We start from the raw sequence: 25,472 nt of genomic DNA, 5'->3' as shown, positions 1-25,472 counted from the left end.
AAGTGGCATACCTGAAGTTGTACAAGGTATAGCAGTAACCCTAAAACCCAGCCTCCATGGTGATGCCCCAGAGACCAGAGGGGCAGTACTGACACCAATGCCTATAATGAGAACAGGGTGGAAGCTCTAGCCTCCTGCATCCAGCATTCCACCCCTCTCCCCTACACCCTGGGCAGATTGCCAGATCTCTTGCCAGCACTGGCTTCTCCCGTGAGTTTCCAATTCACACCAAGACATCCCCTGGATGCCCCACAGGTAATTAAAAGAGGGCGTCTCAAATGCACTTGCCCGGGCAGCTGACTTGCAGAGGGATGGAGCGAGGACCTTCATAAATCTGCTCCTCCTTAAGAACAATGAGATTTCTGGCAAAATGGTTAAAAGTCAAGTTTTTCAGAACTCTGGAAATTAATCAAAGGCAACAATCTGAGAAGCATTTATTCGAGGAGTACAAGTCCTTCACCAGCCTCCAACTTGCTCTTCCTCCAGCATTCCAAACCGAGTTTAATGGAGGCACCCTTGCAGGGTAGGACTCTAAGGCGTGGGAGTCCCGGGTAGCAGCCCATCCCACTCATCAAAGCCCAAGGGGCTTTATCTGAGGATCCTGACTTCATCACGTCTTGTCTGTCCCAGGCTCCATCCCAGGGGAATCCCTTTTTTCTCATGTCTACACCTCCACCTCACCCACCCTTCTCCCTGCACCAGAAGCATGTTTTAATGTTTGAAACCCCTCAATGGTTCCCTGGAGATAAAAGCTAAATCTGCACACCAGGCTCTGTGAGCATTCCCTAAGTTAGTCGGAAGGCTTCCGTAGACCTTTTCATGCTCCAGCAATGCTGGATTATAGAGGAAAAGCTTAGACCTGGGTGTATGGTGACCTGGCCAAAGTCACACCCAATTCCTGCCAGGACTTAAAGCCAATAGTGGCTAAGGAACTGCAGGGGAGCTCCCTGGGACCAAGCACTGTAGAAGCAGAGGGCATTTCCATGATTAAATTGCCTTATGAGGTTATCTCATCTTACAGATGAGGGAAACAGAGGCTGTTAACCACACAGGCGAGAACCTGGATGGAGGGGAAGATGGGCACCTGACAATGGCCACAGCTCAGGCTTGGCCAGGACAGAGACGGAAAGAACAAGCCAGCTGGGTTGGAACTGGGAGGAGCTCCCAGGAGTGGGTGTGCGGTGGGAGGATATCTCCAATCAGAATGACCCTCAGGCTACGTCAGCTCTCTAAAAACTAGAGCTCAAGCTCAACAGCCCTGCAGCCAGAGGCCTCAAACGTAGGGGGCAGGGGCGGGGCACTGGGGTAGGCCTGGGCTGCAGTGGCCAGCCTTCTTTAAGAGCAGGGGCTATTAAATTGAGGCAGTATCTCATCCCATAACTTACATGTATTTTTTACATCATTCTTATCACTACAGTAAATTAAATAACTTCACGAATCTATTAAGAATGACAACCAAAGAAGGCACAACCCGTTTTGGAAGCCAGTGCTTTAAACTGAGTCTGGCCAGTTAACATGCAGTGAAGAAGTCGGAGGACGCTTGGCTGCCACCTGGTGGGACAAGGAGAGAGAGGAAAAGGCCAGATAGAAATTTCTGGCCAAATTGTCTTCAAAAAACCATGGGTCTCCTGCAGAGGCAGTTGTGTGGGGCCTGTGATCCAGCTCGCCACACTCACCACCCCCCCCCCGCCAATTCTTCACCACTGGAAAAAAATGGACTCAAAGCTGCAGTTCATACAATTGAAGATTTATGTAAGTTACTTACTTATTTTTAAACTGCACAATGCTGAAGCCAGTCTAAAAAAGAATCAAACACACCACTGCAAGTTAATTCAATGAGTTACTTTTTTTTTTTTTTAAACAGATTTGTACAGCAAAAAGTTCCCAGATCACAGTCTCTACCATACAGTCACCTGTCCAGTGTGCAGGAAGCCACAGGGGCCCTGGCCAGAGGGGCCAAGAGCAGAAGCTGCACTGCAGAGTTTACTTCTACCTACAGGTGACATGTGGCTGGAAGAATCTTGAGTTCCCTTTGTTCTCCAGTGTATCTTGTACAAAATATTACATTTGTTTAAACACATATTTACAGAGTTTGCACAAATAGAAAATGGTTACAAATTACAACCAGGCTTGGCAGGATACCAGTTCCCCTCCCCACTGACCAAGGTCAGATGTGATGACCATTTCATATTTACAGTTGCAATTTAAAAAGTCTGTGTTTAGAGACCTAAATGAAGTTTATAAAAACTGGTTAAATATCATCAACTCATTTATGTAAGCTGTACAAGTAGTGGATACCAATTAGTCAGTTCATGTCTTGCTCCCTGAAGAAAGATTTTGAAGTAAAAGAAACCCTCTCAAGCAAGCAACATACATCCCTGGCCTGTCTGCCAGTTTGTTTGGTTTTTGCCGGGGAAGGAGATAGAAGGAAGAAGAGGGGAATGGAACAGGGGGAATAGGACAATCTGGTTGAAACTGTTTCTATTCCTTTTTTTTTTTTTTTTTAAACAGCTGAGAACCAGCATAAGCCAGCTGGCTTGTTAAACACTATCCTTTGGCTTTGCGAAGAGAACCCATAGTTCCATCCTTTTTTCTCAGAGACGAAATGTCTTCTCAATAGGACTACAGTATGGAGAAAGAAAGGACTTTCTGGAGAGGACAATGTTTGTTATTCCGATGTTCATCTTTGACTTGAGTGCCAAGCCCAATTTCAACAGTGCAAAAAAAGACTCTCAGGAAGCAGCATGGGGGTCAAAGGCTTGTGTAGTAGCTGTCTACCCACTGGGCAAGGCCTCGCTCCACCAGGGACCGGTTTATCAACACCACCTAGAAAAGAAAGTTCCCTTAAAGCTTTTGTCCATGGCATCCTGGGGCCATCTCCCTAGCCAACATGAGTTCTCCCCTCCCCGGTTGCCACTGCAGGCAACAGATGTATGAGAGTAACAGTGTAGGCCAGACGCAGTGGCTCATGCCTGTAATCCTAGCATTTTGGGAGGCTGAGGCAGGTGGATCACCTGAGGTCAGGAGTTCGAGACCAGCCTGGCCAACATGGTGAAACCCCGTCTCTATTAAACATACAAAAATTAGCCAGGTGTGGTGGCAGGCACCTGTAATCCCAGTTACTGAGGCTGAAGCAGAATCGCTTGAACCCCGGAGGCGGAGGTTACAGTGAGCCAAGATCACGCCACTGCACTCCAGCCTGGATAACAAGAGCAAGACTGTCTCAAAAAAAAAAAAAAAAAAAAGAGTAACAGGGTGGGGGACATGGCTTATGCTCTAGCCAACAGGAACATTTATTTAAGTATTCTGTTGGCTGCTGTGGCATAAGGATAGGGTTTTTTTGTTTTTGTTTTTGTTTTTTGAGACAGAGTCTTGCTCTGTCACCCAGGCTGGAGTGCAGTGGCACAATGTTGGTTCACTGCAACCTCCGTCTCCCAGGTTCAAGTGATTCTCCTGCCTCAGCCTCCCAAGCAGCTGGGATCACAGGTGTGCATCACCACACCCAGCAGATTTTTGCATTTTTAGTAGAGATGGGGGTTTCGCCATGTTGGCCAGGCTGGTCTCAAACTCCTGACCTCAAGTGATCTGCCCGTCTCGGCCTCCCAAAGTGCTGGGATTACAGGGGTGAGCCACTGTACCTGGCCAGGATAGGCTTTTTAATATGCTGAAGAAATCTAAGCTTTCATACCATAAGATAGAGGACAGAAAAACTCAACAGACAGAAGGTCCCAGAAAGTCTCGCACAGGGTTTCTCCACCTTGGCGCTATTGACATTTGCGGTTGGATAATTATTTGCTGTGGGGGGCTGTCCTGAATACTATGGGATGTTTAGTGGCATCCTTGGCCTCTACCCACTAGAGGACACTGACATCACCACTGCCAATCAGGACATCCAAAGTGTTCCCTAGGAGGTGCTTGTCTACAGTTATATCCTCTGATTAACTCAAGAGGAAACAAATCCCAGGACCAGCTCCTAATCAATCCATTACTTCGGGCCAGCAACACAGAAGGAAAAGAAGGGCAGAACTTACTTCATCTCCAACCACACTCCACAGCTGAATCAGAGGAAGACCAGTTGGACTGTAACTTGTCACCTGAAGAAGGGGGGTGGAAAGAATAATATGGTTAGGTTTTGTGTCCCCACTCAAATATCATCTTGAATTGTCATCTCCATAATCCCCATGTGTCGAGGGAGAGACCTGGTGGGAGGTGATTGGATCATGAGGCGGTGTGCCCATGCTGTTCTCGTCATAGTGAGTTCTCATGAGATCTGATGGTTTTATAAGTATCTGACAGTTCCTCCTTCACATACTGTCTCTTGCCTGCCCATCATGTAAGACGTGCCTCTTCCCTTTCTGCCATGATTGTAAGTTTCCTGAGGTCTCCCCAGGCCCGCAGAATTGTGAGTCAATTACACCTCTTTCCTTTATAGATTATTCAGTCCCAGGTATTTCTTTACAGCAATGTGAGAACAGACTAATATCAAGTATTAGCTACTTCATGCACCTTTCCTTAAATACTGCTGGTCAATCCAGGGCCAAGCCACAGGAAAGAAGGCATTGAAAGGTCAGTTCCCAAGAACCCAGCCAGCCTGCCTCCCCCACCCCTGCCAACCACACACCTGAGCAAGCAGTGCTGTATTCCCCGTCATCTCGCTCATGGCGGCATCTGCTTCCGGTGAAAACTGGTCATCGTCTTCAGGAGGAAAAGGAAAAGCGGCATTTAGGCTCTCACTGAGGCAAGGCACCCTTGTCATGTACACAAGTTTCAGGTGCATTCCAAGTAGAATGCTTCAGATGCTGTGGAACTTGAGAACTGCACTGGGGAGATCCACCCAGGTCAGAGACAGAGCCTAGGCCTCCATATGACTCCCAGTGGATAAACTAAGGGCCGCTACTGCATGTTGCCCACTGGTGCAGCACAGACAACAGATGGACAGAAACTTCACCACTAACACCACCACCAATACCACCAGCAGCAGCACCACCCCCACCCCCACCAACTCGGATGCTGGCAGTGCAGAGCATATGTGTTCTTCCACAAAATTAGTAACACCAAGTGCTATCCCCACTTTACAGGAGAGAACACTGAGGCAAAGGTGGATTCCTGAAGGTCAACCAGCTCCCAAGTGGTGAAGGTGGGAATCAAACCCAGGCAGTTGGCCACACAGCCCAATAAGGCCAGCCACTCAGAGTGGGCAAGGCGCTGCGGCAGCATTCAGCTTTGCTGGATTACAAAAGTTACATAGAACACCATACCCAAGGCAAGCAGTGGCAAGGATGGGAGAGACAGGGGTTTACCAAGGAAGATCCGGGAAAATCTTACGAAGGAGAAAGTTTCAGCTGGGTCTGGACAGATCGCTTAGATGGACAGAAGCAGAGAGGAAGGAGGGGCAACAGCAATAAAAGAAGCAAAACAAAGATCTTGCCCCAGTGCTCCCTCTAAGCCGACTCCAGCTAGACTGTAGTATTTCTAACGCATGCAAATCGCTTAAGACAAGCAAGAAGGAGATCAGAAGGGGCAAACCTGGGGAGGGAGTGGGATGGGATGAACTATCACCTACAAATATAAAATTCCTAGCCATAAACAGCTGCCATTTCGCCACCCTCTACACACCAGATCTTAGGTTTATGTAATTCTCACAGCCAGCATCAAAGACAGGTACCATTCCCATGTTCTGGGGTGAAAATTGAGGCTAAGTCATTTACCCAAGATTTTGCCAGTCCTCTTCCCTCTGACAATGCTTTCATAGTCTAAGACACCAGATAGGGTGTCCCCACTGTGCCCTATGGAGCTATGGCCTGGCTGAGCAGTATCAGTGACCAGCACGCCCTCAACCACCGGGGCTAAGACTCTGGGTCTGGACTATAATCTGGAAAGTGCCTTTGTTGGAAGCCCCTTGATGCCTGAGGTCTGAGTACAGTCTAGAGCAGTGGATCTCAAAGGATCAGCAGCACTGGTCTCACCTGGGAACTTGATAGCAATGTAAGTTCCTGGGCCTAAGCCCAGACCTATTCAGTCAGAAACTCTTGAGTGGTAGCAACTTATGTTAGCATAAATCCTCCAGGTGAGAACGGAGGCTCTGAGAAAGACCTACTCTCAACAACTGTCCCCAACAATCCCCCAAGCCAAAGGCCTCAGCTGTTACCTGACAGGGGCATCACACTGTCCAGAAGGACTTCTGCTCCCTGAAACGGCAGGGTGACAAAGTCAGACCTGGGAAGGCAAGAAAGGAACAAGTTTAATGTGGACATGAAGGCTGACTCCACTCCAAGCCAGTATTCATCTTTGTACAGTGACGCCCATAACCTGGGATGCAGCAAAGCAGAGGGTTCGTACTTTGCAGGAGGCCACGGCTCACAGCACACCCAAACACAGCCAGCCGACCCTGCTGCAAGCCTGACCTCAGAGGGACTTCCTATGACAAATTCCTAAAAAGGAGCCTGCTTCACTTTTTTCCTTTTTTGTTGATGTTGTAGAGATGAGGTCTCGCTATACTGCCCGGTCTGGTCTTGAACTCCTGCACTCAAGTGACCCTCCCAAAGCGCTGGGATTTGCAGCAGGCCACCACGCCTGGCCCAGCTTCACTTTTGAAGGATGATGCTGGGGATTCTTCCACAATACAGGCCTTCTAGCTCAGTTTGGCTAAGCGAGTAATCGAGTTTGTTTCTATCAGACTCTGCTAAAACACAGTAGGCAGCAGGAGGGAAGAAGTAACCCTCACCCAAGCCCTGGCACAACTGAGCCAGCCACGCAGAGATCACGCATCCCAGAACAAGCAGGGCGTAGGCCTGCCTGAGGCATCTCCGCTCACCTGATTTGCCGGAGCACGTCTACTTTCACCCTCTTATATCCGCCGTAGTCCACGTATCGAATCTCCACTTCGTTGGTCTCCTCGTAGGAGGCAACCACTTGGGCTCGCCACCAGGCCCCGTCCGCACCAGGGGCGGCACAGATGACCGTTACTGCAGGGTAGGGAGCAGAGTGCGTGGAACGCCTGGGCCAGGGCAGGGCACCAAGGGCCACCTGGCCACTACCCACCTCCCTGCGTTACCTCTCAGAGGCCTGCAACCTCCACAGTGCAGGGGACAGGAACAGCAACCGGCCCCAAGCAAAGCCTCCCCCAAGCCCAAGACCAGCCGAGGGAAAAACCTGGATGTGAGAAGTTCAGCCTAGCAAGTGTGCCGCCCCCGAGGCCATCCAGACTGAGAAGCATTCAGTCTAGATCCATTACTCCAAAACTTCTGGGACCCAAGAGGGACACAGATGAATAGGAATAAACCAAGTAAATATAGCACTCGGGGAATGGGGGCCAGGGCCAGCCTTACATTTAAAAGAAAGTCCCTGAAGAAATCAAGTGCAGCAGATCTCAGCATCCTCATACCTAGGGTGTGCTCCAGCCCACAACTCAGCTGGAGAGCTTGACCAGAAGGGGCCTCCTGGGCCTAAACCCCCTTCTTCTAGCCTTTGCCTCTGGAAGGTGCTGACAGCACCTGGGCAGCCACCCAGGATCAAGGAGTCACTAACCCACTGTGGGTCAGAGGCAGACGAGACCAGGAGGTAAACGTTCCCAGCAGCACCCCAACAGCTGCCCACGCTGGCCAGGATGAGGACCTGTGACATGAGGCTGACTGTGCTGGGTCCTGACCCTTGGAGAGAACCCCTGGCAGTTACCCCTCAGGCTCCAGTTCAGTCTTTACTGCTGGGTTAAGGCAACTTTAGAGAAGCCAATGAAAACTAAGTCCTTATCCTTCCAAAAGGAAAAAATCCACACAAAAGGCTACAGAGATCACTTCAGAAGGTTTTCTACTGCACTGAGTGACCCTGCCATCCCCTGGTGAGGAATGGGTGATGTTCTGACATTCCATCCTCTGTGATAAGGACAACAAAGATAATAATGACAAAGGCTGGGCTCAGACCCCAGATCCTGCTCACTTGGGCAAGTCACCTGAGGCCCAGTTTTCTCATCTGTTAAATGGAGATGACCCAACACGCTGCACAGGCTTGTTGGACTTGGGGATTTTTTTGTGGTAACCATTATATGCATAAGTGCTTTATATGTAATACATACAGTATTCAACACTAATTCCTGGAACAAGTGGGTATCACCCCCTTTAACAGATAATAAATAGGTGGCAGATACTATGACACTGGCTTTGAGGGAAAAAAAAAAGAAAAAATTAAAAAAAAAAATTAGTGGCAGAGCTGGGATCTGAATCCCTGTGTCAAAACTCTACTCCAACACCCATCACTCTGCCAGCCAGTGGAAACCCCAGCTCTGCCTTGCCAGGAAACCCACCCCAGCTCCATAACAATGGCAAGAATTGAAGGATGCTGCTTCCATGAAGGATCGCAGAACAGCCTCCTCCTGATCAGGATCCAGGGCAGAACAGGCAACCCCAGGGGTCCCCCTTCCCGACCCCTCAGGGCACTGCTTACTTTCCACTGGGGTGGGCAAGGTGGGGATTCCAGGCTGAGAGTAACAGAGGTACATCTGCTGGTCGAGGCTGCGCAGCGCGTGGAAGGTAGGGTGTGTGTGCTGCTGCACGAACAGGTGCCCGGCATTGACCTGGTTGACCACAATGACCTCCACGGTGATGCCATCAGGCAGCATGAGCTGTAGAGGGGAAGGGGGAGCGGTCACTGAAACAATCCTTCTTATCTCATCTTTGAATAAGTCCCGAGACCCAAGGGCAAGTCTCTGGGCTAGCATATCTTTGAAAAGGGCAACTCAAGACAACATGGCACCCAGAAGGTAGAGGTTGAAGGACTACTTTAACAACAGAAAGTGTTCGACACCCCTGTGGCTGTTGTCCTGCAATACCACGAGCAGCCATTAGGGGCAGTCTCACCTCAGGGCCAGGCAGGGAGGGTCCCACAGACACTGGGCAACCAAGAAGCAACTGCGGAGGTAGTGCTGGGCCTTGCACAGGCCTGGGCAGGGTCCACCTACCAGCAGTGCCCTCCCTCCCACTTCTGTTGATGAATCTATAAGACCCAGGGAGGGCAACACAGGAATGAGGTGGCCGCTGAGAACAAGACTCCTGAAAATAAGCAGTAGGCAGGCCCCAGGCCCTTTAGCCAACTCCTGTGGACTGGCAGACAACCCCAGGAGCCTATGGTCTGACAGCATCTACGCTGCCCTCCCAAGAGCAAGCAGTGGCCTCAGGTCAGGTCCATGGTCAAGGTCTAGCAGAGTCTGCTTCCTATTTGCTCTCCCTCCTACTGCTTACCCTCCTGAGGTCAGGAGTTCAAGACCAGCCTGGCAAACATGGTGAAATCCCATCTCTACTAAAAACATACAAATTAGCTGGGCATGGTGGAGCACACCTGTAATCCCAGCTACTCAGGAGGCTGGGGCAGGATAATCGTTTGAACCTGGTGGGCAGAGGTTGCAGTGAGCCAAGATCATGCCACTACACTCCAGACTGGGCAACAGAGTGAGACTCTGTCTCAAAAAAAAAAAAAAAAAAAAAAAAAAGAGAGTGAGTCTACGACCGAGCCTCCTGGGAAAAAACTCTTGATTCAGGAGTAAAGCATAAAGTGGTATTCAGCCTACTCTCACATATCCACAGGAAAAAGATATCCCAATCCTTTCCCTCCAGCCCAAGGGCCTTTGCAAAGGGGAAGACACAAAACTGAAATGCCTACCATCCATAAAAAAACAAAAAAACAAAAAAAAAACACGAAGGAGGACAATTTCCTTGGAGCTATAGTCAGCCCATCTGTCCATCTGTGTAAAACGTAGTCAACAGTCGTTGGCCCACAGAATTCTGCAATTCTACTCCCAGTGAGATAAGACCCAACCAGGGCCAGAGGCACACGGCAGGATATGGGCCACGGCCCTGAGAGACCCTGCAGTCAGCAGCACACAGGGGCCCTGGAGATAGCAGCTCTTCCCTCTGCCAAACTCCTGGGGCAACCTCCCAAGAGTCACTGGACTTCCGGGCCTGGTGGGGAGTATTCATTCTTCTTTGTAATTTAGGCACCTCCTGGGGAGGGGAAGGGGAAGGAGATCCTTCACCAGGGCCACTGTTAAGGCCTGACTCAACCAGAAGAAAGAACAAGCGCCATCCAAACCCATGATTCTAGTCCCACCCAGGTCTCAGGTGGTGAACGGCGACCCTGGACACACCCAATCTCCTGTCCGAACTACACCATCCTTTCTAAGCAAACGCCTAGAAAACTTAAAAGGTGCCCAGGGGGAGAGCCAGGAAAAGTAGTCCTCCCATGTGGGGACCAAGAGGCCTCTGGTTTCCTGCCAGCGCTATCACCACCTAAGCCCTGTCCCCAGAACACAGTCCCATAGCAGAACCGACCAGCAGAGGCCAGAGAAGAGAGGGCGCAGGCACTCATGTGCACTTGGCCTTCTTAGCCTGAGGTCTGGGGAGTTTCTTGTTTGGGGTAGGTTTGGGGGAAAGTGGCAAGAAGTCCGGATCACCCAGTAGCACGCTCACCCAGGATGTCATCGGCAGAGAAGGCAGTGCCAGTGAAGGCAATGGGGGAGCGTAGATATTGGTGAGGTTCAGCTCTTTGAACTTCTTCCCAATCAAGTTCAGCGCTTTGTCTACATGATGTTGAGAGCCTAAATAGCGGATGGGGGCAGGACATACAATCACTGTAAGAGGAAACTCACACCCACACTCACAAAAACACAGCCACAGACCCCACTCCACTGGACTTTGCATAGAGTTCAAGTGCATCTTTGAGGTAACAAAACACTTAAGCTCTGCTTTAGGAAGAAAGGCATCTAAGCCTTTCAAATGATACCTCTGCCATTATGATCCATGCTTTCAATGCAACAGAAGAGGCAGGCAGCTGTGAAAATGCCAAGGGGGAATTGCACACAGGGCACTTCTGCTTTGAGAGAAGCCTTTATGGGGTGGTGGGCACTATGAACCCAGGACCCAGGCCCCGCCCAACCAAGCACCCACACTTCTCCTGGCCAAAGATCAGAGTAGGGAGGGACCTGAGTCTCCCGCAGGCACCTGAAATGGGGAAAAGGCTGCAGGGAAGATACCTAATGCTCCCTTCCCTGGGATGAGAAGCAGGGTTTCCTATTCCAAAAAGATAGCAATTGAAACTCAGATGCTATTCACTTCTATTTAATATTTCAGGTAAGAGGCAATACAAGCAGCAGATGTTACTGACCTTCTATGTGGCAGATCTGGACGCTCTGGGTGTAAGGCAGGGTTGAAATGTAGATCTTGGCACCAGATGTTTGCTTCAGAAAACTCACATAGCGCCCCTGCTTGCCAATTAGCCGACCGACTAAGTGCTTCCAGAAAGACAAAAAGAGATGAGAGGGTTAAAGGGAAACCAATTCCCTGGACACCCAAAGACCTACTTCTGTTTTACACAAGATCATGCTCAAACATATTAGCTGTTACCATGTCAGCATTTATTTTCCAGGACTATTCTAAGCACTTACATTTACTCATAGTACCTGTGAAACACAGATAACTTTATCACCATTCTGTATATGGGGAAACAAGCCCAGAGAGGCTAAGTAACTACCTTAAGGTCACACAGCTGCTAACCAGGAAGTCGAACCAGGCAGTCTGGCTCCAGGACCAAGCAGTTCCCATTTCATCCCAACAATGTGGCCCAGACCCGGAAAGCTGCAAAGGCAGCAGCATCTTCTCCTCTAAAAGCCATGCTGAGAAGTTTCACCAGCACACAGTTTCTCGATTTCTCGTGCCCCTCTCCCTCAAGTCTACTCAGATCCAAAGATAAAGGGGCTCGATTTGAAAATGAAGGTCTAAGAACCCTGGGCTCCCGCTGCCAAGTGACAGCAGGCTGAAGCCTGCAGAGCAGGAGGCATGCAGAAGTGCCCAGTGCGCCAGAGTTCAAGGCAGATAGAAGCAGCCAAACTTAGCCCTTACGTAAGATGGGCTCCCACACAACCGCCAACGACCCCCTCCCGGAGGAGCTACTGGGGACATGGTCCATCCTCAGGCACAGCCTTTCTCTTCATGCCCTTTGTAACCACTGAAGGAAAAGCAGGCAGGACGGATAACAGGGCCCCCCAGGGAGGAAACCACCAAGAGACCTCGCAACCCAGGGTCAAAACAGCCACTCTGACCCAGAGTTCAGACCAAGCCAAGTCTCCACCTGAGCACAGAGCCCAGGGCCCTGGGAGAATGCGGTCTGACAAATTATTTCTGAGCCCCAGAGATAAACATCAAGATCAAGCTAATATGTTGTAAGTTCTAATAGCAAGAAGCTCGAAACCACTTAAGCACTCAGGAATGGGGGACTGATGAAGTAAACTGACATCCACACAGTGAATAATGCAGTTACAGTTACATTTTCAAAGAATAACACACGAAAATTAAATTGTTAAATATTTAAAGTATTAATTAAAGCGACATAATCTCAGTTTTGTTTAAAAACCACAGGGTGCAAGATGAGAAGGAAATAAAAGTCTTTCACAGTCACTCTCAAGGGTAGGATTAGAGCTGATTTTTATTTTCTGCATGTATTTCTATACTTTTCAAGTTCTCTAAAATATGGATTTATGCTTTGCTCAATTATAAAATACACTTGGAGCACTTGAGCAGAGCTCAGTGAAGGGATTCTGGCTGGCCCCCACGGCCTTGGTGTTTTTTTTCCAAATAGATCTGAGCCCCAGAATATGCAAGAACCACCCCCAAGGGAGACACACAGGCCTGCGAGTTTGAGAAGTACAAGAATAAGATGCTCCTGGAGGCAGCTGGAGGAATTCCATGTTGCAGGAAGCTCTCTGAGCCTTGGCAAAGTGTAGCGTGTCCTTTCCCTGCGGCCTTTGGCTGACCCAGGGCTCCTTCTGGTTTACTGTCCCTCTCCCAGCCCCCTCCCTCCCTGAGGTCTAATGGCCCTGGCCCCAGGGAGCTTTGGGCTTACCACAGAACCAGCCTGGGGGACTCCGCCCCTACCTTTGGCACCTCGATCTCCCAGATGATGAGGTCGACCTTCTTAGGGTTGGAGCCTGCCTGGGCATTTTGGAAGCTCTCAGTCTTCTTGAGACTGCAACAGCTATCCACGGAATCCATGCTGTTCCTGTCAGAACCTGCAGGGGAAGAAGCAGCAGGCACGCACACACACAGACCCCACTCAGAGCAGCCAGTAACCAAGAACTTCCCAAACTCACATTCCCAGGAGGCCCTGCCCCACACCCGCTCCTCAAGCTTGGCAGGTGACTGTCAACTTACAGTCTAGAAGGCTCAGAACAACCCCAATGAAAGGAGAACTGGGGGTGTCGATACACCTAATTTTAGCCTGTCACTTACAGTCCCACTTGCTTAATTGGCAGCCGCACCCAGCCACAGCTGCTGGAGCAGAGACACAAGTGGTGAACTTGGAAGAGACAGACTGCGCCCAGGGAAGGGGAGCCCAGAGGGCGGGGGAGGAGACACGCTTGAGGTCCACATGGTCCTGAGAGCCAGACCGATGGACCACAAACACCTTGACACCCTTCCAACTATCCTACCCCCTCAGACCAAGGGTCAGTCTCCTGTCCCCAGGGCCCAGTCCCAGGGTCATAGGTACTGGCCTTCAGCCCAGCAGAGCTAGACAAAGTCCTCACTGGCCTGCCTGAGGGCCCCATTCTTATACCTAGCGGGGACCCGCTCGTTCCTCTGCCATATGTGGACTAAAAAAGGAGAGTCTCCTTTCCCTTTGCTTAGGCCTGATTCATGCAACTCTGAACACTCTTCTGGCTCAAATACTCCCTTGGTCAAAAGACTGAGCCAAAGCTCATGCCCAAGAAAACCCAATGGGAACAGACTCTGCTCCCGACCTGGGCTGTTCCACTCTCACTCAAGAGCGTGCCAAAGGGACCGTCACAAAAAAGCGGGTCCAGATCAGCTCAAGAGAAGTGGCCCTGGCTTAAATATGGATGACTCAATCACCAGAAATAGATCACTCCTGAGAGTCTACCAATTAGGTTACCTTCCACATGGTTTCTCCAAACCCTGAGTATAATCCTTTGCCAAGTAACCCATACACTGGATGCAGAGAACTAAGGCCCAAGAGATCCTGCTCCCAGCTAAGGAAGAATCACCTTCAAAATGACTTCCCCCCTTAACACTAGGCGCTTCGAACAGGATTCATGCAGGGAAAAGTACCCCTTCTGGGGGAAGACTGCTTGGCTAGCCTGCGGGAAGCATAACAGGCTGACAGGGGCTGGGCGAGGGGGCGGGGAGCTCTGCTCACTCACAGTATCCAGCCTCTGCCCCACAGAATGGGACTGGCTAACACCTGCCATCCCGATGGCTCCCAGCAGTGGCTCAGAACCACACCCGGACTCTAGCAGGCTGCACTCAAAGGCCAGCTTCCAGCTCCCTCAGTGGGGTGGTCCCTGGTCCCCTTCTCAGCTTCAACTTCCTCACAAACAAAGCAGGGCTGACATGAAGGTACATGCGAGGCACTAACCTCGTGCTTGGCACCCACCGCATGCTCGTGGACAGTATTACCTCATTTCCACGTGCCATCCCTAAACCTCCCTGCCCATCACCACGGCTTAGGTTCAAGCCTAAACTCAGAAGACTTCAACAGGTCTGAGTAGCTACTACTATCCATCTAGAGTTGGCAGACAAGGCTGCGGGGCTTGTTAATTCAGCTGAGGGGCAGTAAGCAAAGGGAAACTCCTTTATTCTTAAAAAATAAATAAAATAAAAATCACCCATTTTCAGATGCAGTATTTTAAGAAACATTTAAACATCCCGAGATTAGGATGCATCATATAGTATCTTGCCTTCTATAATCATGACTGGCAGCACTTTTTTCTTTCCAAGGTACATAAAAACAGTAGTGTCTTAACAGCATCTTGGAGGTGACAAAATGTAGCGTGTGGTACAAACTAGATGCTGCTGAAAGTGGTAAAATTCCCAATAAAGATTCCCAACCTACCCGGAGCTGAAATGGGAGGGAATGGCTCCAGGACAAACAAGTCAGAGAGCCACTCGGGATATTCGTGGCCTCTCTCCATGAGATAAATGAAAACACCCCAGGGTGCCTGCAGAAGCAGGGTCAGGAGCTGCTGACCTGTAAGTTAGCGGTCTGAACTGTCTACGCTGGGGTCAGCACTCGAAAAACCCAGGACACCTCGTTATCAAAGTGCCCCGCTTTCCCGGGGGTGGAGCTGCAACTGCACAGAAAGAAAATGGCTGAGGCTTTCTGCAAAGGTGACAGCGACAACTCAGGAAGCTCAAGCCTCCCACAAGTATTCAAAGCTGTGGCCGTTCTTTGGGCACTTACCCTGTAAGAGCTTCTGGAGAAGGAAAGCAGGTGAAGACATGGGAACAAGCACATGATTAAAAGGAAATAAAAACCATTCAAAACACTCACACCCATACCTGGCACTCAAGGGAAGTAAAGCTAAGGAGGCCTCTCCATTAAAACACACACACACACGCACACACAAAGAGGTTAGTGTTTAAAAAAGAAAAAAAAATGGGCTGGGCATAGTGACTCACACCTATAAACCCAGCACTCTGGGAGGCCGAGGGCGGAAGGATCACTTGAGCCCAGGAGTGCGAGACCAGCCTGGGCAACAAAGGAAGACTCCATCTGCACCAAAATAATAATAATTTTTTTAAACAAAGAAAAAGAGGCACACTAATGTTAATCAGCGAGCCCAACTTGGCGCTAGTTCCTTGGGAAGGGCTCACTGGGGAAGGTCACCGGTTGAGGAACCAAGTTACAGCTCCCATGACTTGGGGTTTCAGGGCAATCTAACTCCTCAGTTACCCACCAGCTCTACGCCGTGTCCAGACCTCTGCAGGTTGCGATAAAGAGCTGAAGAGCACTATGACTTTGCTGCACAAGTAGCAGAAGGGAGAGGCAGACTGGCAGCCTTTCTCCAAGAAATACTGGGAGCGCCCCATCCTCTAAACGAACCCGAGACCCTCCTACCTCCTGAATGATCTGCTTCCGCATCCATGGTCCATCCATCCTCAGCCCCCAAGTCTGACAACTCCCCCTTCAGCACCCCATTGCTGAAGGGCACAGTACTTTCTGGCAGTGGCGGGGTGATGGCCTTGTCCCTGGGGCTCGAGCTGGTCTCTGTGCAAGAGTCTTCAAGCCCTGAAGTGCTGAAAGAATCTGAGCAGTGTCCTGGAGAAGCCACCAAAGGGACACTTTGGCTGCTGTCTGACATGCAGGTGACACAGGTGGCATCTTCCACCAGGATGCCTGCCCGGTCCGGCAACTCTTCACTGGGGGTGGTCAGTGCCAGGCAGGAGGCCAGGGAGATGTGGTGTGCAGAGATATTTGGCTTACTGTCCTTGGTGGGGCTGGACAGAAGGCTCTTCAGGCAGCTCACGTAGGTCTTTGGTGGTGGTGAGCCCTCTGCTGGTAGGCCTGGCAAGGGGAGGCCAGCATCCGGCGGGGCAACAGCTGCCTCTGCTGTGGCAGGCTCCGCAGTGTCTGGGCCCAAGACAGTTTTCTGGTGAACTGGGACACAGCTCTCTTCCTTCTGCCCTTGGAGCTGACTGGCCTGACACACACGACCTGCAACCTTGCCAACCGTGGTGGCCAGCACCTGTTCGGTTGCTTCTGAGATCACTTGGGAGATTATCTGGAAGGCAGCCCGCTTAATCTCCTCATTTCTATCCAAGCCCTCCTCATTTCTATCCAAGCTCTCCTCATTTCTATCCAAGCCCTCCTCATTTCTATCCAAGCCCTCCTCATTTCTATCCAAGCTCTCCTCATTGCCCAGTTCTCCCTCGACACCTCTATCCTGGGCTTTGGCGTCTGCGACTGGGGGTGCTGGCGCCGCATCGTCCTTTGCCAGCTCTGTGTGAGCCGACTCGATGAACCTACTTGGCAACTTCTCTGCTACATACTCTTCCTCCTGCACTGGCCCCACCACCTGGGATGAGCTGCTCTTCCCCTTATCTTCTTCCCCCTCTAAAGAGGCCAGGCTGGGGCCCTTGCTGTTCTCCAATTCCAAGACATGCTCCCGAGACAACAGAGCTTCTTCAAGCACCTTTTCCCCCAACACGGCATCACCAGTCCCTTCGGCCCCACCTGTCTCTCTTGCCCTCTCCCCAGAGCTACGCTTCTCTGCGGGGACTACGGGGTAGCCTGGCTGGACCTTCCTTGGCACCCTGCTGAAGGGGGAATCTTGCTTACACACCTCAGCTGATTTGCTGGAGAATAGTACACCCTTTGGGGATGAAAGGGGGCACTCTAGAGGAATCGATTTGGCTTCACCACCTGTCAGGGCTAGCTCCAGCTTTGTACTGTCATCTCTGCGTGTTCCTGGTCGCAATCTCATGTCTGTGGTGTTAGGAAGAATGCCCGAGGACTCTGATCTTCGGCAAGGTGGGTGTGTCTGGAGCAATGCTGGGGGCTCTGCAGGCAGCTTGCTCACGGTGGACAGTTCCTTTTCTGGAGGCTCTGTGACACTGGGGGGTGTGGACACTACTTTGGGACAGACGTCTTCCACGGGGAGAGGTTCCTTGATGGCAGGGTCAGCCCTCAGCTGCACAGCACCAGCCTCCACCTGCTGCTCATCATGGCTGCTGACATGGCCTTTTTTACGAGAGAAAAACCACCACCAGCCGAGGAGCGCCAGCATCCCAGGCAATGCCAAGGGGAAGAGCGAACGGAACTGGATTGCCATCCTGGAGGCTTGAAGTAATTACACCTGGGGAGAGCAGGAGAGCGGGGAGGAGGGATGTTACAGAGCCAGGTAGGAGGATACTGGCAACCGCACATGCAAGACAGTCAACAGGGTAGAGCTGGAGCCATCTCCTCCGCCTTCCCTGCCCTCCAAGAGGAGCACACCTCTCAGCTCGTACCAGTCCACCCTCTGTGTGATCCACTGGGGGTCAGTGGCCAGGAAGAGGCATCTTCCCCTCCATGCTCCCCAACTCACGCACCCTCTTGAAACAAACCGAGCATTCTATTCTTTAACCCAAATCCCTCCCTTCATCACTTCATGATGCCAAATTCTCTCTATGTTCCCCAAAAAGGGGCTAGCTCTGCTCAGTGTGGCTCAGTTCTCTAAACTCACAGAACATTTTTTTCTATCAAGTGGCATCAGAGCATTTCAAACCCCCATGGAATCCACATGTGCATGGTTCCCTCACATCTACCCATAAAATCATGAGTCAATGAAATGGAACTTTGTTACTCAGCAATTAGAGACAGTGAGAATGAAGGAGGAATAAAATTCCCAATGGCTAAGGAGATGCTCCAGGGTGAGGGACCAACACAGCAAACTGCAGCATGAAGGTCCAGGTCAGACTTGGAAGATTCAAATACAGGCGCTCCCTGATCTTCCAAGGCTCAACTGAGAATTTTTCAACTTTACAATGGTGGGAAACAATACCCATTCAGTGGAAACTATACTTCCAATTTTGGATTCTGATCTTTCCCTGGACTACCAATAGGTGATGCGCTACTCTCTCGCAATGCTAGCTCCCAGTCATCCACTCTATCACAAGGGTGAACAACGGGCACTCCAGAGTGGATCGTGTTGCTAGGTGATTTTGCCCCACTGTAGACGACTGTGAGTCTTCTCAGCTCATGTAAAGTAGCCTAGGCTAAACTATGGTGTTCAGTAGGTTAGGTGCATTAGATGTATTTATTTTCGATTTATGCTATTTTCAGCTTACAATGGGTCTACCAGGATGTAACTCCATTGTAAGCTGAGGAGCATCTGTACCATCGTGGGGTCAGTGAGGGTGTCCTAGGGCCCCACTGCGTAGTCTGGACTTTATCCTGCAGACAACAGAGAACCAGCATAGGTCTGCAAGGCACACACATCAAATTGTTTCTAGAAGGCAATTCTGGGAACAGGATGAAAAGTGAATCGAGGCTGGGCGCAGTGGCTCATGCCTGAAGCCTGAAATCCCAGCACTTTGGGAAGCAGAGCTCGGCAGATCACCTAAGGTCAGAAGTTTGAGACTAGCCTGGGCAACACGGTGAAACCCTGTCTCTACTAAAAATACAAAAATTAGCTGGGCATGGTGGCAGGCGCCTGTAATCCCAGCTACTCAGGAGGCTGAGGCAGGAGAATTGCTTGAATCCAGGGGGGTGGAGGTTGCAGTGAGCCGAGATCAAGACTCCATCTCAAAAAAGAAAAGTGAAGTATATCGAGCAGAAGGAACCTAGAAACCTAAGTCAGTTAGGTCTAAGCAAGGAGGAATAGTAAGGGCCTAGAAGAAGGCAACAGACATGTAAAGGGGATAGAAAACTCAATTTTTCCTCATCTGTAAGATGGGGACACATCTCTTAATGGATGGTTGGTATAAGGATTAGCTGAGATATAGAAAGTTCTTTGCAAAGCAGTTAACACTCACTAAAGGTATATGATGGGCTTATTCTAGAACACTTACATTCAATGCTTCCTATGCCAGCAAACTTTAAATCTCTCTGCCAAAGTAATGTCTTTTTAAAACCAAAAATCCTTCAACTGACAAGCTGAATTACACCTTATTTGGGTTTGTTTTCTTTTAGAGATAACAAATGCACATGTTTTAACAACTCATATTGGTTTGACTTATATTGTTTTCTGGCAGAACCAGAACATCAGTACTTTTAAAAGTTCCCTGAGAGGTTCTACTTTCCAGCCAAGGCTGGGAACCACTACTCTAGGACTCTGCTTCTGAAAGTGCGATCCATGTACCAGAAGTCCTGAATATTGCCTAGGACCTTGCTAGAAATGCAGTATCCCAGTCTCACCTCAGACTTGCATTTTAACAAGATCCCTAGGGGATTGAGAAGGACCTTACAGTTTGTGAAGGAATGCTAAGAGGTGTGTTCTGCCCCTGAAGTGATGAAGTGGGGGCAGTGGTAGTGAGAAGGTCACCTCCATTTGAAAGTCCCTATATCTTTAAAGATAAACTTTCTTGCTGATATTTGAAGCAGCAGCAATGATAGCATTTGAAGCACAATGCAGGGCTAGGCAGTGGCCAGGGCTAAGGCTTTACATCAATTCCTCAGGGAAGAAATTTAGTGCTACCGTTTTGCTTCACATTCAAACACAGAACCTTGCTAGATTGTTTTCCTTTTATCTCGCTGTCGTCCAGGCTGGAGTGCAGTGGTGTGATCTCGGCTCATTACAACCTCTGCCTCCAGGTTCATGCAGTTCTCCTGTCTCAGCCTCCAGAGTAGCTGGGTCTACAGGCGCCCACCACCACACTTGGCTAATTTTTGTATTTTTGGTAGAGACGGGGTTTCGCCATGTTGGCTAGACTGGAACTCGAGACCTCAGGTGATCCGCCAGCCGGCCTCCCAAAGTGCTGGGATGACAGGCCACGGTGCCCAGCCAAATGAATTACTATCTTGAAGGTTAAAATAGCTCAAGGAGGCTGGGTGCGGTGGCTCACACCTATAATCCTAGCACTTTCAGAGGCTGAGGCGGGTGGATCACGAGGTCAGGAGATTGAGACCATCCTGGTTAACATGTTAAACCCTGTTTCTACTAAAAATACAAAAAAAAAAGAGAGAGAGCCGGGAGTTGTGGCGGGAGCCTGTACTCCCAGCTACTCGGGAGGCTGAGCGGGAGAATCACTTGAACCCGGGAGGCAGAGGTTGCAGTGAGCCAAGATAGTGCCACTGCACTCCAGTCTGGGTGACAGAGCGAGACTCAAAAAAAAAAAAAAGCTCAAGGCATACAGCCAAGGGATGGGTACCTAAATTCTCTCCCACATTAAATCTGGAACCCATTATTCTAGAACTGTGGGGAAGAGGCGCTATATGAGCCAAGAAAAGGGGAAGTCTGTACTACCTTTCCGGAGAGCCTTATGATAGCTCTTAAAAGCTCATAACCACATCCTACAACTCTGAAATCCCACACTTGGCATCTTTAAATTAAAAAAACAAAAACAAAACCACAACAAAGAAAAATCCACAAAGCCAAGCACCTGTGATCCCAGCTACTTAAAGAGGCAGAGACAGGAGGATCGCTGAAGTCCAGGAGTTGCCACCAGCCTGGGCAACACAGTGAGACTAGTCCCTTAAAAAATTTTTTTTCAAAATGTTTTTAACCCACGTACCTCTGCACAGGCTGAGGCATCATTTGAAACAAAATTGGGATTAACAAACATTTCAGGGGAATCACTGCTAGGTAGATTATGGAATCCACTGACATACCGATGTTACCGAAAGAAGTTGATCTCATGTGCCGACATGGAAAAAATCACCTGGATACGTAAAACAAAAAGGTACAGACCACCATGTGTATGGAATGTCTATGTTCACATAATCCCATGGAAAAACTGGGAAGGACACACAACAAGCCATTCAGTTGTAGGAGAGGGGAAGTTTCTACACACTGATCTTGTATCCTGCAAACTTGCTGAACTCACTAATTCTAACCATTTAGTAGATTTCCTTGGGATTTCTTACCTACAGATAAAGAGTCTTACTTCCTCCTTTTGGGAGGAGAGATTTTTAATTTCTTTCACAACCGGTTCTCCAACTTGGCTTCACATTAGCATCATCTGGTAAGCTTTTAAAAGCCCAAGGCCAAGGCAGCACCAGCCCTATTAAATCAGAATCTTAGAGTGAGACCCCAGCAGCAGGGTTTTTTTAAAACCAAGGTGATTACAATGTGCAGTCAAGTTTGAGAATCACTGTTCTGAGGCCAGGTGTGGTGGCTCATACCCAAAATCCCAGCACTTTGGGAGGCGGGGGTTGGGGGTGGTGGAGGGGGCGGCAAATCGCTTGAGGCCAGGAGTTTGAGACCAGCCTGGGCAACATGTGAAACCCTGTCTCTAAAAAACATTAGCCAGGTGGTATAATTCCAGCTGCTCCAGAGGCTGAGGCAGGAGGATCACTTGAGCCAGGGAGGCGGAGGTTGCAGTGAGCTGAGATCGTGCCACTGCACTTGCAACAGAGTGAGACCCCATCCTGGGGGGAAGAAAGAGAGAATCACTGTTCTGTAATAACCCGCCCACACCCAAAAAAGTGGTAATGATGGGAGATTTGCCTTGTATTTGCTTTGTGTTCAATTGTCTTTCAAATAAAAGAGTAAAGACAGGGAAGTCTCCCTACACCTATTCTAGTTTGGGGGCTGCCCAATAAAAATAATTTTATTTAATTTTTTGAGACGGGAGTTTTGCTCTCGTTGTCCAGGCTGGAGGGCAATGGTGTGATCTTGGCTCACCGCAACCTCCGCCTCCCGGGTTCAAGTGATTCTTATGCCTCAGCCTCCTGAGTACCTGACATTACAGGCATGCGCCACCACACCCAGCTAATTTTGTATTTTTAGTAGAGACAGGGTTTCTCCATGTTGGTCTGGCTGGAAAAAATAATTTAAAAAAAAAGAGTAAGGACAGTTTGAGACGGGAAAGTGGCTATGAGGAAAGGCTGCAATGGATAGGGGAGTGTGCCCGTGGCCTGCTGTCAAAAGATTCAAATCCTACCTAACAGGGCACATGCCAGCAGGAAGAGGAGTGGAGTCTAAACCCAGGTTTTCATCCGGTCAGTTTGTTTGTTTGTTTACTTATTTATTTATTTAAGACAGAGTCTTGCTCTGTCGCCCAAGCTGGAGTGCAGTGGGCACGATCTCGGCTTACAGCAACCTCTGCCTCCTAGGTTCAAGTGATTCTCCCACCTCAGCCTCCCAAGTAGCTGGGATTACAGGCACACGGCACCATGCCTGGCTAATGTTTGTGTGTGTGTGTGTGCGTGTGTGTGTGTGTGTGTTTTAGCAGAGATGGAGTTTCACACCATGTTGGCCAGGCTGGGCTCGAACTCCTGACCTCAAGTGATCCACCCACCTTGGCCTCAAAAACTGCTGGGATTATAGGCGTGAGCCACCGCGCCTGGCCAGGTCAGTAAATTTAGATTGTGATTCCTTATTAACTAGGCAATCCCATTTCACCCAGATTTATAGCTGTGACTCCCATAGCAATTATCTGATCGCAGGAAAAAGATTAAATGGGATGGGGTAGAGAAGAAAAACAATCCTAACAGCTACCCCACCGGGGGCTAGTTCTCCTTATTTTACATATCAAGGGCCCAAGGCCGCAGACTCTAATTGGCTGTCTGCTCAAAACACAAACCACCTCTCAAGATGGCTGGGAGAAGCCCCACCCCTTTAGAACTAAAAGTTGATCCCAAGGGGTCCTGCCTGTCTCCAGCAGTTAGTTGCTGGTCCCACACCACACCACCACACCCAGCCTCCCAAGATCCCATAAGGGGGCTATACTACAGTGAGGTAGAGACCCAACACTCAAAGCACGCACCTCTGCCCTGGCTTTGGTCCTGTACCCTGGGCCACCCATACCCAGTCCCCAGCACCTTCTGTCACTAGGCTCCCTGCACTTCACCTGCCCTGTTCTCAGTCCTCAGACAGAATGCACAGAATCACCACTGCAGGCCACAACACCCATCTCTGCCTGCTGCTCTGTAGTTTACCAGGACACCACCACTAGCCCTCCCTGCCCAGCTTGTTCCCCAGAGACTGAGGCTCTAAGCCCTCAGACCACCACCTCTAGAGTCACCCCTATAGTCACTGGAGCTACTGAAGAATTACTGCCTGGAAAACATGGTTTCTACAACATTTCCAAGCCAGGGATGGCCTCCTAGAAGGCACTGAATACTGCTACCCATTTCACCCAACCCACAGAATCCAGGATGTCCCACCTAAATTCCCAGTGCCCATCTCTCCCCAGCCTTCACCCCGCACTCTGGACTAGAGCCAGAGACCCAAGGCTGAGCAATCAGGAACCAGGTGTCACTGCTTCTATGCAGTGAGTGGCTCAAGATAAAGCCCTTCTCACACCATTGCTTCCAGGAACAGAAACTGCCTGGCTTGAAGCGCTCCACCAGCACTTGAGAACAGAGATTACCAGATCCCCGAAGAGCAGAGTGGAAGATGTGTTTTTTTCCTTGTTACCAGGGAATTGTGCCTAGAGATGTGAACCATCCTCCAACAAGAACAGAGCCAAGAGACCCTGGGATCAGCAGGCCTTGGCTGGGTCTCACTAAGGGCACCCATTGCCAGGAGACACCTCACAGATGCCCCTCTACCAGCCCCCACTTCCCACTAGTCAAGAAATCAGCTAGGCTAGGTGCGGTGGCTCACGCCTGTAATCCCAGCACTTTGGGAGGCCGAGGCGGGCAGATCACGAGATCAGATCAAGACCATCCTGGCTAATACAGTGAAACCCCGCCTCTACTAAAAATACAAAAAAAAAAAAAATAGCGGGGCTTGGTGGCGGGCACCTGTAGTCCCAGCTACTTGGGAGGCTGAGGCAGGAGAATGGCATGAACCTGGGAGGCGGAGCTTGCAGTGAGCTGAGATCGCACCACTGCAGTCCAGCCTGGGCAACAGAGTGAGACTCCGTCTCAAAAAAAAAAAAAAAAAAATCAGCTAGCCCCTCACTCCCTCACCCCTGAGCCACTCTCACCTCAGTCAAACAGACTTCTTGGAATTGGTAAGATGCCATTTTGCCCAATTTACGTGGTCCGACAGGGCTACAAGAGGTGGTATAAAATGCATCAGGCTTTCCTGAGTGCCCAGGTAGTGCCACCTCTTTTCATACATACACATACCCCTTTAGCCTTACAAGGCTCTTCTGACATCTTCCTTCCTGCACTGGGCCAGACTCTTCGGAGTTGCTCTCTTTGCCCTGAGGTGTTTTTTTTTGTAAACCTGAACTTCTCAACATTTAAGTGGTATCACAGTAGTCCCCAAAGCCTTCCTACTCACAAGCTAATCAAAGGCTGGCTCCTCCCCCAGGCCCAGGACTAAGGGCAGACCTGTCTGCAGTCAGAGAAAAGCCTCCCAGAAGGATGCTGCAGAGCCCTGCCCTAGGGTTGGTGGGGAGGACACTCTGTCATTTTGAATCTGTTGGAATTAAATAGCTGCCTGCTTATTTTTAGCAGGTCCATTTGCCTGGGAATAGATGCATACTGGCTAGTTGCCAAGTGGTCACACAGAGCTGAAGTTAGGCACGTGCTACAGCCACAGGCCTCAGCATTCATCTGCTCACTCCAGGTTCCAAAGGATCTCTTCTTTCTCCAGGGAGGTACCTGCAGCTTCTCAGAACAGCCCTCAGAAAAGTAATGGCCTCACTCTCAACTCAGCTGACAAACCTGGTAACTGCAGGCTACAGCCTTCTGCTAAACAAGAAAACAAATCCCTGGCAATGGTACAGAGAGTGTTGGTCCCAGTGACTAAGCCAATTTGGCTGCAGTGACTGCAAAAAGAGCCGCATGTAACTGATGGGAAAGTCCACCATAAAAACAACAGCTTAGGAGCCAAGTGCCCAACAAGCCCAATGTGGGCTTGGGCCTGGTCAGTGAAGCCACATCCACTTTGCGTTCTGAATGAACATTTACACTGGAATTTGAACATTTCTTCCATTATTCCAGTGTTCACACTGACAAAGGCTGTCCCCAGGTGTTCTACCAATAGGAAGGAGCCTGCCCAAGACACTCCACCTCCAGAGTGCCCAGCTCATTAAGTTCCTGCTGAGGGACTCTTCCCCTTGAAGGGGGTCTTCCAAGGGCAGGGAATCAGA

The 25,472-nt window shown here is 49.9% G+C and overlaps 1 protein-coding gene across 8 annotated transcripts in view, besides 3 other annotated features; it reads right to left on the bottom strand.

Moving 5' to 3' along the window:
- AKAP1 (A-kinase anchoring protein 1) overlaps positions 1,732–25,472 on the bottom strand; it is a 36,099-nt gene continuing 12,358 nt past the window's right edge. For all 8 annotated transcript variants that reach the window (NM_003488.4, NM_001242903.2, NM_001242902.2 and 5 more), the window contains 10 exons: positions 15,898–17,635; positions 12,918–13,051; positions 11,152–11,278; positions 10,458–10,585; positions 8,440–8,617; positions 6,815–6,965; positions 6,149–6,216; positions 4,622–4,695; positions 4,032–4,094; positions 1,732–2,826 (listed from right to left, as the gene is read on the bottom strand). In NM_003488.4, coding sequence (NP_003479.1) covers positions 2,752–2,826; positions 4,032–4,094; positions 4,622–4,695; positions 6,149–6,216; positions 6,815–6,965; positions 8,440–8,617; positions 10,458–10,585; positions 11,152–11,278; positions 12,918–13,051; positions 15,898–17,611 — 2,712 coding nt within the window. In that variant the 5' untranslated portion in view covers positions 17,612–17,635 and the 3' untranslated portion in view covers positions 1,732–2,751. The remainder of the gene's footprint in view (positions 2,827–4,031; positions 4,095–4,621; positions 4,696–6,148; positions 6,217–6,814; positions 6,966–8,439; positions 8,618–10,457; positions 10,586–11,151; positions 11,279–12,917; positions 13,052–15,897; positions 17,636–25,472) is intronic.
- Positions 8,714–9,008: a silencer, noted in NCBI's record as "tiled region #9462; K562 Repressive DNase unmatched - State 25:Art". NCBI's record gives its function as "represses a minimal TATA promoter and a strong SV40 promoter by Sharpr-MPRA in K562 cells {active_cell/tissue: K562}" and the evidence as "EXISTENCE:reporter gene assay evidence [ECO:0000049][PMID:27701403]".
- Positions 13,606–14,207: an enhancer, noted in NCBI's record as "H3K27ac-H3K4me1 hESC enhancer chr17:55186230-55186831 (GRCh37/hg19 assembly coordinates)". NCBI's record gives its function as "activates a minimal SCP1, AML or CMV promoter by ChIP-STARR-seq in naive H9 embryonic stem cells {active_cell/tissue: H9 hESC(naive)}" and the evidence as "EXISTENCE:reporter gene assay evidence [ECO:0000049][PMID:30033119]".
- Positions 23,935–24,014: an enhancer, noted in NCBI's record as "active region_12426". NCBI's record gives its function as "activates an Ori minimal core promoter by ATAC-STARR-seq in GM12878 lymphoblastoid cells {active_cell/tissue: GM12878}" and the evidence as "EXISTENCE:reporter gene assay evidence [ECO:0000049][PMID:35858748]".

The sequence above is a fragment of the Homo sapiens genome, chromosome 17, assembly GCF_000001405.40.
Source record: "Homo sapiens chromosome 17, GRCh38.p14 Primary Assembly".
Taxonomy (NCBI): domain Eukaryota; kingdom Metazoa; phylum Chordata; class Mammalia; order Primates; family Hominidae; genus Homo; species Homo sapiens.
The sequence above is the reverse complement of the archived record's forward strand: the minus strand, read 5'-3'. Positions and strand labels throughout refer to the sequence as shown.